Source organism: Homo sapiens, chromosome 11, assembly GCF_000001405.40.
Source record: "Homo sapiens chromosome 11, GRCh38.p14 Primary Assembly".
NCBI classification, from domain to species: Eukaryota; Metazoa; Chordata; class Mammalia; order Primates; family Hominidae; genus Homo; species Homo sapiens.
Window position 1 is genome coordinate 121,623,047 of NC_000011.10, and position 16,536 is coordinate 121,639,582.

The window sequence follows — 16,536 nt, forward strand, 5'->3', positions numbered from 1 at the left end:
GAGAATTCTCATAACTCTTGTAACTATGACATCTAAATGGCTAATATCCTTAAATAGAAGGAAAGCTTTCAAGTAAGTTCAAAATGGAAATATTCTAATTTTGAAGAAGGGACATGTAACAAAGCGGAAAATTCCAGCAGCAGTAAGCAAAAGGAGAAAAGTTCAACCTCACCGGTAATCTAAATAACAAAGAGGTAACCCTCTCATGTTAAATTGGTAAAGATTTGCAGGGAAGAGTATAACTGGTATGAATAGTAGTTGGGGAAGTAAACGTTCTGGGAATATGAATTGGTTCAAACTCAAGTAAGGTTCTTGGGTAATACCTATCAAAAACGTTGAAAGTGTTCACACCCATTGATCCAGCAGTTGTAGGATTTTACTCTAAAGCAGCAACGTGCATGAAGAATTTGTGTGTAGTATTTATGACAGCAAGAAAGAGGAAACAGCCGAGATGCCGAACAGAAGAGGATGGGTTAAATAACGTATGGGTGGTTGATGTTGTGTAATCTCAATTATTTTCTTTATAACCTTTGTGTATTTTACAAATGATCGACACCAGATATCTATTAGGTGGAAGGTAATAACTGCTGGCTTATAGGAAAGAATGCGGGGATGAGATTCCAGGCAGGTATTGGGAATCCCAGTTCGGCAGCCAGTCGCCATTAGGGGATCCTTCCTGGGTGGCTGGAGCCCGGCTCTTAGGTTAAGATTCTAGGTTAGTATTTCGTTCCTAGTGGAGGGTCTGGCATAGGCATAGCATGTCCTTCTTCCCTTCCCCTGACAAGGAGTTCAAAGAATTGTATTAGTCCGTTTCCACAGTGCCAATAAAGACATACCCAAGCCTGGGTAATTTATAAAGGAAGGAGGTTTAATTGACTCACAGTTCCACATGGCTGCGGAGGCCTCTCCATCATGGTGGAAGGCAAAGAGGAGCAAAGCCACATCTTACATGGCGGCAGACAAAGAGAGAATGAGAGCCAAGTGAAAGGGGAAACTTCTTATAAAACCATCAGATCTTGTGAGACTATTCACTACCATGAGAACAGTATAGGGGAAGCCGCACCCATGATCCAGTGATCTCTCACCGGGTCCCTCCCACAGCACAGGAGAATTATAGGAGCTAGAATTCAAGATGAGATTTGGGTGGGGACACAGCCAAACCACATCAAGAATAGATGGGTCAGTGGTATTGGGATCAAGAGACTGTGATTATGCAAGGGGGCCCAATATGTGGCTAGAGAAAAGTGATGGAGTCTTTTCAGGGGGATGGTGGAGAGTGTCAGTAGCTTTGACACTGGAATAGTTGGGGATCAGCAGAGAAGTCAGGTTGTCAGCCCTCATCCCAGCTAGTATCCTGGGCCAGGGCTGTCCCCAGGATGGCTTTTTCCAGCACCAGAGTCCAGGGCTGTAACTAGGAAGACATTTCATCCTCTCCTCCAGTGAACAGGGGCCTGAGCTGGCTTCAGTGCTTCTGATTTCAAGGCCAGGTTGTTGGGGGGCTGAGATCGGCTCAGAAGGAGCTAGAGAGCAGGGAGACAGGAAGTGAGCCGACAAGGTCATTCCTACATATTGTTCTGGGGACAAATGTCTTGTCTTTTCTAATTGCAAGTTCTCCTTTCTCACCCCATTGCTGGAGTCCACTGCGACCTGGATTTATTATTAGTCAAATTCCATTATGGCAAACTGTTCAGATTCTTGGTGGCATTTAATATTGCTTGAGACAGGCAGACTGCTGAGCAAATCTCTGAGTGTGGCTTTGGTAAAATGACTTTCCTGAGGGCCACAGTTTTCATTTCCACGATATAGCTTGTTGTGGGGGGGTGGTGTGGCAGTTATTTGAGATATTGGAGATGAGAAAAATTTTCATTTTCTGAATCCAGTATCTCAGTGGTAATGTAAAAAGAACAAGGAGAAACCCAGGGCGCTTTCGCGTCTGTAGCAGCCCACAGTGAGGAGCTCACATAAAGATGGAACCAGTAATAGAGGCTGTCAGTTTCCATATTCGACTTCCTGAGCAATCTCTTGTGTTTGTTTTCAGGGCTATGAGATACACATGTTTGATAGTGCCATGAATATCACAGCTTACCTTGGGAATACTACTGACAATTTCTTTAAAATTTCCAACCTGAAGATGGGTCATAATTACACGTTCACCGTCCAAGCAAGATGCCTTTTTGGCAACCAGATCTGTGGGGAGCCTGCCATCCTGCTGTACGATGAGCTGGGGTCTGGTGAGTTGCGATTGCTGCCCGTTTCTGTCTTCAGTTCTAGGGAAATAGCAAGAATGTCATATGGTTTCATGACCATGTGTCTTTCTAAAACACATGGAAGATATTCTCAGCTTAAAAGAAAATCATTTATATATCAGTTTGGTCAGGTAGTGATGTATTTAACAAATACTTCCTGAGCTGAACATGGTACAGGAAGCTGAGATTACAGGGGGACCGGATTCTGAACATAAAGTGCAAGAAAGGCAAGGCTTTGTTTAAAAAGGGAAACTCTAGGTTCACAAGAGTTTCATTTGTTTTTTGTGGGACTTCTCAGCACCTCTAACATGCTAATATATCCTGTGGATCTCCAAGCCAGTAGATCATCTCCTTGTCATGGATTTTACATGTAAAATCATATAACTGATTTTACAGTGCACACCTCTGCCCCGCCCCGGCTTCATCTTAGCTCTCAGCATAAGCTTAGGACTGGAATTTGTCCTGGGATCTCTGTCTTATGTCTTATGCTGGGCCATGCTAGTGATGGAAGAGAGGACCCTTCCGTTCATACAGAAAGTCTGCTTACATTATAGTAGTTTGGCCAGGATTTCAACAAATGTTTTGCCACTGGTCTTTTTTAGTTCCATTTACTCTCAGCCAAGAACTAACCAGTGCTCAAGCCAAAATCTTGTGTTAGAGTTGTTAAATGTTCCGTCTCATAGTGTTTCTCAGGGTGAGATCTTGTGCAATATTTATCCTTGGCACCCCCCACTAAGAGAGGGAAACACTGCCTGCCACTTCCCTTGGGAGAATCTTAACATATTAGAGGTTCTAAGAAGGTCCTACAAAAACCAGCCCAACTCTTGTTGACCTAGTATTTCCTCAACAGAGCCCCATTTTTAGGCAAAACTAATTGGCAACCTGTGAAATATGCTTTGGGAAAAATTCCTGTGCAGACCCCTCCCGGCCACCTTTATGGAACCAAGGTTGTCAGGCAGAAGGGCTCTTGGCCAACATCTTGCCCCTTCACGTTCACCTTCCCCTTGGAAGTGGGGTGGGGGAGGGAGGGCACTCCTTCCTGGAGCTCCCAGCCTTCATTGTGCCGACTTCCTCTTCACTGCTCCAGCCGCACACACCCCCTTCATTAACCACTGCACAGTTGGAATAGGTTGGAACATATTAAATAAGATGTTGCTAGAGTTTTTTTTTTTTTCTGGCAAGGAAATAATGAAAGAAATGTAAATACAGACACGAATATTGAATTGTTAGATTAGGTTTGCAAGAAACAATTGTTCTCTGGCCCATCTTGATGAATACCCTGTCAGGGTGAATGCCTGGGGAGTGACAGAGCTTTCTAGTGAAGCAGAGACCTGGCCTGCGCCACCTCTCCCGACACCAGGGAGCAACCCTGAGCCTGTTGAGGCTCCTCATGGAGACCTAGACTGAGGGAAGTCCAGTCTGTTTCCTTTGCCAAAAACTGATTCCTAGGTTTCATTTTCAAGTTCAGACTTACCCTGGGATTTTTAACATGAAAAGTCTACCGTTTTCAAGGAGACTGGCCCCTACCCCAGCAGGATGGGACGTGGGGCATGGCTTTGCCCTAGAGCCCTGGTGGTACAAATCTATTAGTGAATCATCACAGAGCCTGTTTGTTTAAGTCAATAGGAAGGGGCCATGTTTGTTAGGTTATAAATGCCGAAACGGCTTTGCAAATAACTTTAAAAAATGTTAAATGTATATGGAAAGTTGTTTTTCTCCCTCACTCTCTTTTTCACTTAAGTGAAAAACCTCATAAAACTTCATGAGCTGTTAAGTCTGTATTGTGGTGTAGGAATCTCGTTTGTATCACTTAATGGAGCTTCAGGTAATTGCAGTTCAGAGTGACTTTGGTGCCAAGTAGGGGGAAATAATTGCAATCTCGTTAATTAGTGGTCTGATTTCACATCCTCTTATGTAAGGCAAGCAAGTGGTCTTAAGTAATAATGCTAATGAAATCAATGTTGATACCCCAACAAAGGTCTCCCTTCCAAGAGATTATCTAAATAACCAACAAGGCAGTGATTAGGAGTCTAATGTAATTACCATATTTGCATGCACAAGGCCCTTGGTCTATCAGCTCATGGCAAGTAGTGGGGAAGCAATCAGGCATCACGCACATGCAGAAACGTCTCACACCAGACAGGCAGTTTGTGTAGCTGTGGCTATCGCCCAGCTTTTTTTGGTGGGTGGGGCCTTGAGGAGTCATCTGGTCTGTTCTCCTGCCCTCAGGTGGGCTTATTGGTGGGAACTTTGCCTTGGCAGGTGCAGATGCATCTGCAACGCAGGCTGCCAGATCTACGGATGTTGCTGCTGTGGTGGTGCCCATCTTATTCCTGATACTGCTGAGCCTGGGGGTGGGGTTTGCCATCCTGTACACGAAGCACCGGAGGCTGCAGAGCAGCTTCACCGCCTTCGCCAACAGCCACTACAGCTCCAGGCTGGGGTCCGCAATCTTCTCCTCTGGGGATGACCTGGGTAAGTGGGGCAGGGAGAGTCGGTTCTTCCTCCCAGGGCTGACCCCCACGCAGCCAATGACTTGATTAGGAAACACCCACCTTCAGCTCCTCTTTTGACCCTGGAGGAGCTCTTCATCAGCCAGCGATTTGATTCCATGAGTTTTGGTTAAACCATTCAGAGCCCTCACTTTTTAACTTTTAAGTTAAATTAAAATGTTGTATTCTCTTTGATTGTGTAGTTCTGGCCTGAAACAGGGAGCTTGCCCCAGGCCTTGAGACTCCCAAAGTATCGGAAAATCCTCAAGAATATCTGACCCCTGTCTCATCCTTCACTGAGCTGGAGGTCTGACATCTCTGGAGATCCTAACTCAAGATAAAAAATAATGCTTTCCCAATCAGCTTCTATCAAAGGAGACCCTTTCCATCTTGCTGTTTCTCTTTCTGGTTGCTAGTGTAACCTCACCAGCCATTCTTTTATGTACCTTAACACAGTGGTCCCCAACCTTTTTTGCACCAGGGACCAGTTTTGTGGAAGATAATTCTTTTTTCACTGGACCAGCGGTGGAGGGGGAAGGGTTGGGGGATGATTTCAGGATGAGACTGTTCCACCTCAGATCAGCAGGCATTAGATTCTCATAGGGAGCGCTCAGTCTGGATCCCTTGCACGCTCAGTTCACGATAGGGTTTGTGCTCCTGTGAGAATCTAATGCTGCCCTGATCTGACAGGAGGCGAGGCTCAGGCTGTAATGCTCTGACTCACCACTCACAGCCTGCTGTGCGGCCCCCCATTCCTAACAGGCCATGTACTGGTACTGATGGCCCTCGGCCCGGGCATTGGGGATCCCTGTCTTAACACATAGCAAGGGAAAAAGTAAGAAGTTTCCCGTTTTGAAATCTTTGCACAATGAAAACCCTAAATGCTAATAGAGATAGTAAGATAGTAATATAATAAAGTGGGTGTGTTACGAGGCTTCCCCAAACTTAGACTAATCACTGTGAATGTACAAGTTTATTTCTTTCCGTTAACTAGTTACAATTATATATCTATGTTTATAAAGACATTTGTATATTCCCCTTCACTGATCATATGATGTTAGCTCTGTTCCCTTTCCTTGTCAGTTTCCTTTCTTGCCTAATAAGCCGGCACCTGGACTGCCTTGTGTGAATGGGGCGGCTTCTTTGCTTCTGCCGTTGGAGGCAACAGGAGTGGACCCATCAGCATACCCTGCGATAGTCACTGAGTGTCGGTCCACACTTGGTGACACAGGATTATACCGGGCGTCACAAGGGGACAGCTGTTAGTCTGGGAAGCTGTCCTCAAAATGCTTAAACTCCTCCCAGATCCTTTTCCTCAGAGCACTTTGGGTTCAGAAGAGAAAGCAGACACTGAAGTTCACTGTGCTAGTGTAGGGTATAGATAACTCAAACTGGGGAACCCAAACTACCCACTTAGCTTTTGAGTAGGTAATAAGAGTCTTCTCCTGAGAAGCTTTGTTTTCCTAATTTGGCTACGTTCAAACGACCACTAAAATAAATGTGAGGATCCATCGATGGGTAGAAGGTGGCCAGGAGGGACAGTGGGAAGCTGGGCTAGGTTTCACAGCTGATTATGGTGGCTGCCTGGCTATGGCATTGACCTTCTCAGCTAGAGGGTTGTGGTAGGGTTGAGGGGTGGGTAGAGTGGTGGGATATGGGGTCAGGTGAAAATGTGTTGGAACTCACCAAGGCCTGACTGTTTTGTCTCTAGGGGAAGATGATGAAGATGCCCCTATGATAACTGGATTTTCAGATGACGTCCCCATGGTGATAGCCTGAAAGAGCTTTCCTCACTAGAAACCAAATGGTGTAAATATTTTATTTGATAAAGATAGTTGATGGTTTATTTTAAAAGATGCACTTTGAGTTGCAATATGTTATTTTTATATGGGCCAAAAACAAAAAACAAAAAAAAAAAAAAGGAAAGAAAGGAATGAATAAACTTTGTAGTAATCAACTGTGAACTTCAAACCAGGTTGATTTTAGTAACCCAATTGCTTTGATTTGACATTAATGTAGTCTTACAGGGCTGTGCTTGCTGGGCATGCTTTTACGTCTGTGAGATAATTTCGGTTCAGTAAATTGGCCAATCTTTTTATTTTTCTAAGACACAGAAATGTATTTAATAAAAACCTCGAGAGAGTGATGGGTGGAACCCCTTCTCCTTGAAAGTGTGTACAGATATTCCATTTTGTTTGGATATAGTTTATAGGAAAGTGTGTGGATGTATTATGGCGGAAGGTTTCTTTATGTTATTTTGTTAATTTATTGGGACTCTGTGTAAGGCCAGGCTTTAGTGGTCATTAGACACCACATGTGTTATGAGCCCCTTACCCATAGGGTTGGGGGTGGGAAGAGAAGCATATTTTTTTGCCATTCCGGAAGCAATCCATTTTTATTCACTTGTGTGTCATGTAATGGTCTTTGGCAGGAGAGAGCACTGAGTCATTGCTGGAGTTCAGTTCAACAGAGCTGCAGCTTGGGAAGCCCTGTAAGCCCACAGCTTCCTCTCTTATATTAATTGATGGAATTTTACTGTATGTGCCTCTGTACAAGATGTAGCTTTGAGAGCTACAAAATGATAACACTGCTTTATTACACACTGGTTTCATTGTCATTGCAAAAACTTACCCTGGTTGTGGGGGAGAGTTCTAGATCTGTGCCATGATCCATACACTGGCTAATAGAGTACATAATTTTTCCATTTTCCATTTTTTGTTTTTACTTACTACTGAAGGATCTCAGATGTAAAATTATGTATTTGGTTTGAGATGGCCACTTATTGTCCTTAAAAATCCATACTGATATATGCAGTCATTTTGAATTGGACAGTGCCTTCTCTTTTTTTTTCTCCTCTTCTTCCATCTCCCTCACCCATGCCCCCACCCAATCTAAAGAGACAGTGCTGTACATTCTCATAGAGATAGAGAAGATCTAAAAAGTTGAGACTACTCAATCCAGTTAACAACAGCAGGAGCACTAGAGTTTGTTCATTTATTCTCTCTGTAAAACAAGCTGTGCTTTTTTTCTTCTGCCTTTAAAATGCCACCCGTGTATTCAAACCATGGCCACTTGATACTTATGTAGAATCCATCGTGGGCTGATGCAAGCCCTTTATTTAGGCTTAGTGTTGTGGGCACCAATGTCGAGCATCGTTGTGACTTGTGCTGTATGATTCTCACTGAAGAATTTCCTTTCAGCCAAGAAGCAGTGAGGTCTGGGAATATTCCAAAGTCATGTCTCTGAATATGTGTCCTTGACGTGCAAGCTTTGTAAAACCCCATCCCCGCTTAGGTGCGAGGCATCACCTTCTCACAAGTGTTTAGTTTCTTTTAACCACAAGTATCATTCTTGGGTGATAATATAGTTTCATTCTACTTAGGGATTGTTTAGAAAACAAAGAAAGAGCCAATTAAATTTTTTAGTTTTTGAAATTTTTATTTATATGTATACTTAGATGAGTATTTTAAGCTGTCGACCTTTAGTTTGCCATACGGGTAGGACTGTATTTCATGTTAACAACTGGTGGTAATGATAAGCCTTCTTCTAGCGTATTTTCTCTTCTTTCCTGTCACTTTCCTAAGTTTTTTTTTTTAAAGACTGGAATTTTTTTTGGCTTTATCTTGTCTTACCGTAGAGATTTGTTCAAAACTCTAAGCCCTACCACCTCCCCTTTAATAAGCTCTTTAAATAGTTGAATCATTAACAACCTGGTGGGAGGCAAGTCATTTAATTGAACCACTAGGAAGTGTATTTTCTTTTCTTTTTCTGCCAACTTTTTGGTGGCATTTGTAAAAGCTGATATAAAAGGCTCTGAGATGTTATTTTCAGTTATTCCATAGGCAAGCCTTTTTACAGAGCATATGTCTCCAGTTGGCAGCTTGAGATATTTCCGAGCATCCGGTTCTAGCTACCAGTGCCTCCCAATGCTTAGTGCACAGTACTGTAGACTGGCCATCACCCCTCTCCTTGGAAAATGCCACTGTGCTGTTTGAAAAAAAGCAGCCTTTTAGGGCTAGAGTATTTTATATAAACAGAAGAGCTAAGTTCCTGAAGACTAAGCTAGATAGCTGCAGCTATATGTAAATTGTATATTTTTATGAACTTTTGAAGCACACACTCCTGTTTCCCTCTGTGTAGCTTTGTGGGGATTTCATGTATATATGCTGTCTGAAAGAATCCAGAGGTTGGAGTGCCAATAGAAAATGAAAACAAATGCCTTGTACTACAGGCAGCCTCTGAAGGTGACCACATAACTGTCTTCACTGTGACCAATCGGAGTCCCTGCTTGCTTGTGAAGAAGGGGCTTTTGTACCTTGTTGGAGATGCCACCTCAGAAGTTCACACTGTGCAGGAAAAAGGTTTTATTCTCTCCTGGCATACATTAGAATGTCAGATGCTTGCATCCATGTGGACCACGATGGGCCTCTAAAAATTGGTGGGCAGGGGGTTTGCTTATGAGTTTTCTCTGGAAACCGATTTTACTCCTGGATGTATTGAATGCCCCTTGAGCTTTATGAGATACGAGTCCACATGGATAAAATGTTAGAGAGTGGAGTTCTACAGAGGATTCCAGGAAGAGGCCATGTCTGTGCAGTCCTAGTTCCAGACAGGTGAGAAGCTCCAGGAACTACTGGCTACCTTGACAAGCTGGGTAAATAGTTATCATTCTGGGTAACTGGTTGAAACTCTGACTTTTGGACAAGTAATTCCTGGGGTTCTGTCTTTGGTAGCATCACCAGGGATATTTGGGTGGGACAGACAGAAGACACACAGCTGCCTGTTCTCTCCTGCCCATCATGTTTGGCCCACTAGATGAAGCTGTACTCAGCAATTTAGGGAATGTAACCCTTCTCAGAACTGGCCATTTTCAGGGGAAGCTTGGGAGAGCAATAGTATGGTGAGCCCCTTAGAGATGAGCGCCTACTCCTTCTTGGCGAATGCTGCCTTCAGATGCTTACCAAGTGGTCACTGCATCTAGTAAGATTATATTTCCAGTACACTTCCTTAGGGCAGAAACACCATCCTATCAGGTTTGGTCAGTCCCTTCTTCATGAAGGGAGTCATGGGGAATTCCTGAAAATTTTCTTCCTTCTGCAGACAGTTGGATGAGTCCCTTAGAGAAGGCATCCAGAGACATAACTAAACTGAATATCATCCCATATTGATTTTAGGAATTGACTCTAAAACTCTGTGCAGAATCTTGTGTTGGGATTGTATCTTGACATTCCTGTTGTGTTATTTTTCTTAACTGGAGTGTGTGCTGCCTTTCAGGTACAATTTTTGTGTAATAAAAGCCAGTGCATTAAGTTTATATAGACTACTTTCTATGCAAGACTGAGATATGGAATAGATAGGAAGAGATATGTACTGCTGGGTACATGGACAGTAAGTGTGTTTTCAGATGGAGTACCAGCACCGAAAATGGGTTGAGGGAGGATGGGTTGTATGTATGTTTCTGCCCACTAATTTTGAGCAGCCATATTATGAATTAAATCGTCACAGCCAAGTAATAACCCAAGAATGGTATGAGTTTCATGTGTAATAGCTCAAATGGAATAAGCATGAATGCTGGAGTGGACCATTATCCTCAAATATTCTATGTCACTTCTCATTTAAAGACTCTTGTTATGAACTATTAGAAACTTTAGGCAAAATCAAAAGTATTTGCGGCAAAATAAAGGCCTATTCTACTCTTATTTAAAGTGAAACACTGTATACTTGTTTCTCTCCAAAGCGAAATTAAGTATTTATAATTTCAATTGCCTCGATAAGTTTCCAAGTCACTGAAATCTGCTGAAGGTTTTACTGTATTGTTGCACAACTTTAAGATAATTTTTGTCTCAATGTCAACTTTTTTCACTGAATAAAAATTTAACTGGGTCAAGAAAACACCTCTTTGAAAATCCACTGTCTCTGTGTGTCTCGAGCTGTTCTTTAGAGCGCAATAAAGATGGCTGACGCAGTCTCCAAACCCCATTTGATTGGTCTGTTTTAAACGGATGTTTATTTCATAGATGAGAGAACACCAAGGCCTGGAATAATTTTGTTATTAACAAGCTGGTCTCAGATGGTGGATCCTTGAAGAACACGATGTCTTTGTGTTGGTTGAGGAGGGGGAAGATGTGCTGGCTGTTTTGAAGTAAACAGAATTATTCCGTAGGGACAATGACTAAAGTGGCTCCCTTAAATTTGTAACTACATTTGCTAAGAGACAGTTTGCTAAGAAGGCAATTTTCAAATCTAAGAGACGGAAGCACAGCAGTATAGATGAGCTGTGTGTCTAAGAGCACTTCTATGGGTTTCCATAGACAGTCTTGTGAGGAGTGCTGCGTGTACCTATTATGGGCAGCTGAATGGCCATGGGCCTGTAAGTCAGGATTGGAGGCTGTGGAACTGGGTGGGGGAGGGAGGCAGGTTTTTAAGAATTTAACAGGTCTTCTGGTATGCTGCTTTTGTTTAGACACTGAGCCAGAGCCAAACCCTGAAGTATTATCATCTGGTTTTGTGAATGAAGAAAAGGAGGCATAGAAAAGTGAAGTAATTTAGGAGAAACCAGAGCATAAAAGGCAAAACCAGCCTCCCATCCCAGGTGTTTCTGATCCCAGATCCTCTTCTGAATCACGACGCCACAGCGCCTCATGTCACCATTCAGTATCACAAAGAACACATTAGTCCAACACATTGCACCAAGCGAAATCCCAAGGGGAGACCTACCACCTGGGTGAGCCTCCTTGGTCATGGCCTCATCCTTAGGTTTTCAGGCTTAGATAATTTTTGTCAACACATGATAGTGAATTCATCTCTCATGGCCAAACACACCTTAACCAAACTCAGGATGTTGATATGCAACGTCATAATGTCCATTTGTTAATTCACCCTGGGAAAGTGTCCTGTCCCTTACAATGTCTGCATGACCAGTGCATTCTCTCCCTGTAGGGAGATCTACCCCAGGAGCCAGTCACCACCAGAAGGTTGCTTGGAGAGCAGGGGCAAAGAGTTTTAAAAGTAGGAGGGATCTGGGTTAGCATAGTGGTTGCCCAATAAATACTGAATGAATGAACAAAGACTTGACACTCCACAACAGGAATAATCTACTCCATATAAACTTAGTATTTGAAGCCGTCAGATTGCAACACCCTGGATCCATTTCTAGTTAAAAAGATCTTGCCAATAGGATCTAATACTTTAAGTCCATGCACTGTGGTTCCCCTGGACAGGGCTTGGGCACTCCCACATCGGTCACTCTGACTCATCTCTACATGTCCTGTTGTTGAGTAAACTCTCCCACTCACGAAAACATTCTATAGCAAAATTAATGCATTTGGACTGAGTTTGAATCGAATCTTCCTGGCTAAGAGCCAGATTCTGACTACATCCGTCAGCTATGATTATTGGGTTCCCCAGCCCATAGCAAATTGAACATGGGTTGGGGCTGCTAAGGGCAGCTACTCCGAGGACAATAGAAGAGAAGCCACGAGTTAGAGTTAGACTGCTGGAAAACCTATGTGAGAGATAAAGGAACTCCAGCAAATATACTTATTGGGAATATTTGGCATAAAACCAGAGTCCTACACAGTAAGTAGCCCATCCAATTAGAATAATTATCATTCCCTTCCGTTGAACCCCTGTTCTTTGGTAGTAACTATGCTAAACTCTCTCTCTCTCTCTATATATATATAAAAAACAACATCTTTTTTCTTTTATAGGAAAGATTATATATCTTGTTATAGATATAAAAACATCTTTTTTCTTTTAAAGGAAAGATTAATACCTAAATCACAGAAGCGCTTTTAGAATTAAAATATTAAATGTATTAAATATATTTTTATATATTTATATAATCTATGAATATAAATAAATATATATATACATATTTTAATTCTAAAAGTGCTTCTGTGATTTAGGATTTAGGTATTAATCTTTCCTTTAAAAGAAACAAGATGTTGCTTTAAAAGAAGAGTAACTTCTCCAAGGTCTCACATGAATTAAAGTGGAAGAGTCAAAATAACCTAGATTTATTGCATCCTTAAACTCCTGCTCTTAGTTGTCATGCTATTTAGCCCTGTCAGTACAATATTAAGAATCTGTAATAGTGATATTTCAAGGATTCCCACTAGAAAGATTAAAAACAACGTTTGGAGACATAAAGAAGTATACTTAGATTTCTTTGCACAGCCATTTATATGGAACACAGTATTACTTACGGATGGTAGATCAATGCAGCCTTTTTTATTGGAAAATGTTTTTGCAAAGAGTTCAATAATTAGGAACGTGGAGGATTCTTTTGTTTTGCAGCAACCCAGTTACATTTTATCAAAATTCTTTGCATCTTTGGATAGGAAGGTTCAGTGAATATCTTATTCACCTTTATTTACATATGCAGTGAGGTACATCATCACATGTTCTATTAGGGTGATAATTGGGCTAGTATGAGACCATCAAAAATCCCAGCAAAAGGAGGTGGCTCCCATGCTTTTCATCCAGCCCCAACTGGCTTTGATGCTTGTGGCCCATTAATTTTAAGAGATCATGTGCGGGGTAATTTGAGCCTGCAACAATTTACAGAACAATGATGTTATGCTTTTTAAAATGCTAATGTTACAGTTGTAATGTTGCAACCCTATTTAATGCCAAAATGACGATTGGTAATGTTTGGGAATATTTGTTTGAAAACAATGACATTTCATACTTAAAACTCAGCATCAGCAAACTTTGAGGAAGAAAAAAGACTAGGATTTAAATATAAATCAGCCTTTTATGAGATTTGCCCTTTGGTTATATGCTAATCTGTAAAGCCTTCAAGATCTATCAGACAAAGAGGTTTCATAATTAAAACTTGCTTTTCAACCTCCCTCTAGCAGAGGCAGAACTTATTAGTTACCCAGGGATTGATCAAGCCCTGGATGGTGCTGAACTGTCTGGGTGTGTGTGTGCAGCTATGTTTGATGGAATTCTTCATAGACAGCAGATGAACAACATGAGAACAACCTGTTGGTTTCACAAATACACCTTATTTTGGACCCCAAACTGCTTGACTGCTCCTAAGAATTAGCACATTTTCAAAGGAGAAGTTTTGTTCTCATTGAGGTGATTCAAAAGAATGCGTTTAAGACTCATGACAAGACTCCCAAAAGGTGGTCCGAAAATATCTTGAGCAATGGCAACACTGTAGCAATAAGTAATAGTATTTCGTAATAAGTAGTAAGTAATTGCTACTTGCCAGACACCGTTCTGAGGGCTTCTTGTATGTTAACTCATTTAATCTTCACAACAACCTTTTAAGGAAGGTATTATTATTCTCATATTATAAAGAAATTGAAGCACGAAAAGGTTAAGAAATTTCCCCAAGGTCACAACAGCTTCTAAGTGTCAGAGCTGAGATATGAACCCAGGTAACCTGGCTCCAGACTGCTTTCAATTACTTCACTGCACAGCCCCTCCAAACAACCCTTTTGATAGCACAGTTTTGGGTGTATACATTAGGAATTTATTTTAACCAGCCAGTTTACCTTTTTCAATACAGTAATGTTCTGTTAGGGGATGGATTATAGAAGGAATTTGTTTCATGCGCGTCCGTGTGAAGAGACCACCAAACAGGCTTTGTGTGAGCAACAAGGCTGTTTATTTCACCTGGGTGCAGGGGGGCTGAGTCCGAAAAGAGAGTCAGCGAAGGGAGATAAGGGTGGGGCCGTTTTATAGGATTTGGGTAGATAAAGGAAAATTACAGTCAAAGGGGGGTTGTTCTCTGGTGGGCAGGAGTGGGGGTCGCAAGGTGCTCAGTGGGGGAGCTTTTTGAGCCAGGATGAGCCAGGAAAAGGACTTTTACAAGGTAATGTCATCAGTTAAGGCAAGGACTGGCCATTTTCACTTCTTTTGTGGTGGAATGTCATCAGTTAAGGCGGGGCAGGGCATTTTCACTTCTTTTGTGATTCTTCAGTTACTTCAGGCCATCTGGGCGTATATGTGCAAGTCATCCAGGATGCGATGGCTTAGCTTGGGCTCAGAGGCCTGACATCCCTGCCTTCTTATATTAATAAGAAAAATAAAACAAAATAGTGTTGAAGTGTTGGGGTGGCGAAAATTTTTTGGGGGTGGTATGGAGAGAGAGAATGGGCGATGTTTCTCAGGGCTGCTTCAAGCGGGATTAGGGGCGGCGTGGGAACCTAGAGTGGGAGAGATTAAGCTGAAGGAAGATTTTGTGGTAAGGGGTGATATTGTGGGGTTGTTAGAAGAAACAGTTGTCGTGTAGAATTATTGGTGATGGCCTGGATACGGTTTTGTATGAATTGAAAAACTAAACGGAATAAGAGGAGAAAAACAGGTATTAAAGGTCTAAGAATTGGGAGGACCTAGGACATCTAATTAGAGAGTGCCTAAGGAGATTCAGCATAGTCCTGTCAGCAAAGATTATTTATTTACTTTAAGAGTTAAGAGTGGCAGTTTGGGGATAGCACCAGGAGATATCAGCTGTGATGGCTTGGAGAAACAGTGTAAACCGGCAGTGTAAACAAGAGCAGGGCATGTATGAGTAGTTGAGAATGGTGAATAGGAGTATGACTAGAGAGAAGACAGTAGGGATGACAAGTTTTTTGGAGCACAGTCCAAGTTGGTCTGATGTCTGGAATGAGACTGGGCCCTAATCAAAAGGAGCGTCTATACAGGAGCTCAAATGGGCTGTACCCTGTAGCATTCTGAGGACAGGCCTGAATTCTGAGAAGGGAAAGTGGTAAAAGTATTGTCCAGTCCTTTTTAAGTTGGTAGCTGAGCTTGGTGAGGTGTGTTTTTAAAAGACTATTAGTCTGTTCTACTTTTCCTGAAGACTGAGGACTGTAAGGGATATAAAGTTTTCACTGAATACTAAGAGCCTGAAAAAAATGCTTGGCTGATTTGACTAATAAAGGCCGATCTGCTATAGGACTGTATAGAGGTGGGAAGGCCAAACTGAGGAAGTATGTCTGACAGAAGGGGAGAAATGACCGTGGTGGCCTTCTCAGACCCTGTGGGAAAGGCCTCTAACCTATCCAATGAAAGTGTCTACCTAGACTAGGAGGTATTTTAGTTTCCTGACTCGGGCATGTGAGTGAAGTCAATTTGCCAGTCCTGGGTGGTGGCAAATCCTGAAGCTTTATGTGTAGGAAAGGGAGGGGGCCTGAACAATCCCTAAGGGGTAGTAGAATGGCAAATGGAACACTGAGAAGTGATTTCCTTGAGGATAGATTTCCGTGATGGAAAGGAAATGAGAGGTTCTAAGAGACGGGCTAGCAGCTTGTAACCTACATGGAAGAGGTTATGAAATGACGACAGAATAGAATGGGCCTGTGAGGCTGGAAGGAGATATTTTCCTTGGTCTAAGAACCATTTGCCTTGTGTGGGAAGAGATTGATAGGTGGAAGTTTCAGCGGGGGAGTAGGTGGGAGTGACTGACGTGAAGGAGAAAAACTGGCCATGAGGGACAGAAGGTGGAAAGCTAGCTGCTTGTCTAGCCACCTTATCAGCATAAGCGTTGCCTAGAGCAAAGGGATCTGACGCCTTTTGATGGCCTTTGCAGTGAATGACTCCAGCTTCCTTTGGAAGTAAAGCGGCCTTGAGCAGAGTTTTTATTAAAGAGGCATTAATGATGGAGGACCCTTGTGTAGTGAGGAAAACTCCTTCAGCCTATATAACAGCATGGTGGTGCAGGATATGAAAGGCATATTTAGAGTCAGTATAAATATTGATGCCTAGCCTTTTTGCAAGAGTGAGGGCCTGAGTTAAGGCAGCTGGTTCGGCTTGCTGAGAGGTAGTGGAGGGGGGCA

At 42.4% G+C, this 16,536-nt stretch overlaps 1 protein-coding gene across 1 annotated transcript in view, besides 2 other annotated features; it reads left to right on the top strand.

Annotated features, from left to right (window-relative positions):
* SORL1 (sortilin related receptor 1) overlaps positions 1-10,717 on the top strand; it is a 181,450-nt gene extending 170,733 nt beyond the window's left edge. Inside the window, exons 46-48 of the mRNA NM_003105.6 lie at positions 2,039-2,231; positions 4,509-4,721; positions 6,450-10,717. Coding sequence (NP_003096.2) covers positions 2,039-2,231; positions 4,509-4,721; positions 6,450-6,517 — 474 coding nt within the window. The 3' untranslated portion in view covers positions 6,518-10,717. The remainder of the gene's footprint in view (positions 1-2,038; positions 2,232-4,508; positions 4,722-6,449) is intronic.
* Positions 13,882-14,547: an enhancer, noted in NCBI's record as "NANOG-H3K27ac hESC enhancer chr11:121507637-121508302 (GRCh37/hg19 assembly coordinates)". NCBI's record gives its function as "activates a minimal SCP1, AML or CMV promoter by ChIP-STARR-seq in primed H9 embryonic stem cells {active_cell/tissue: H9 hESC(primed)}" and the evidence as "EXISTENCE:reporter gene assay evidence [ECO:0000049][PMID:30033119]".
* Positions 14,548-15,211: an enhancer, noted in NCBI's record as "NANOG-H3K27ac hESC enhancer chr11:121508303-121508966 (GRCh37/hg19 assembly coordinates)". NCBI's record gives its function as "activates a minimal SCP1, AML or CMV promoter by ChIP-STARR-seq in primed H9 embryonic stem cells {active_cell/tissue: H9 hESC(primed)}" and the evidence as "EXISTENCE:reporter gene assay evidence [ECO:0000049][PMID:30033119]".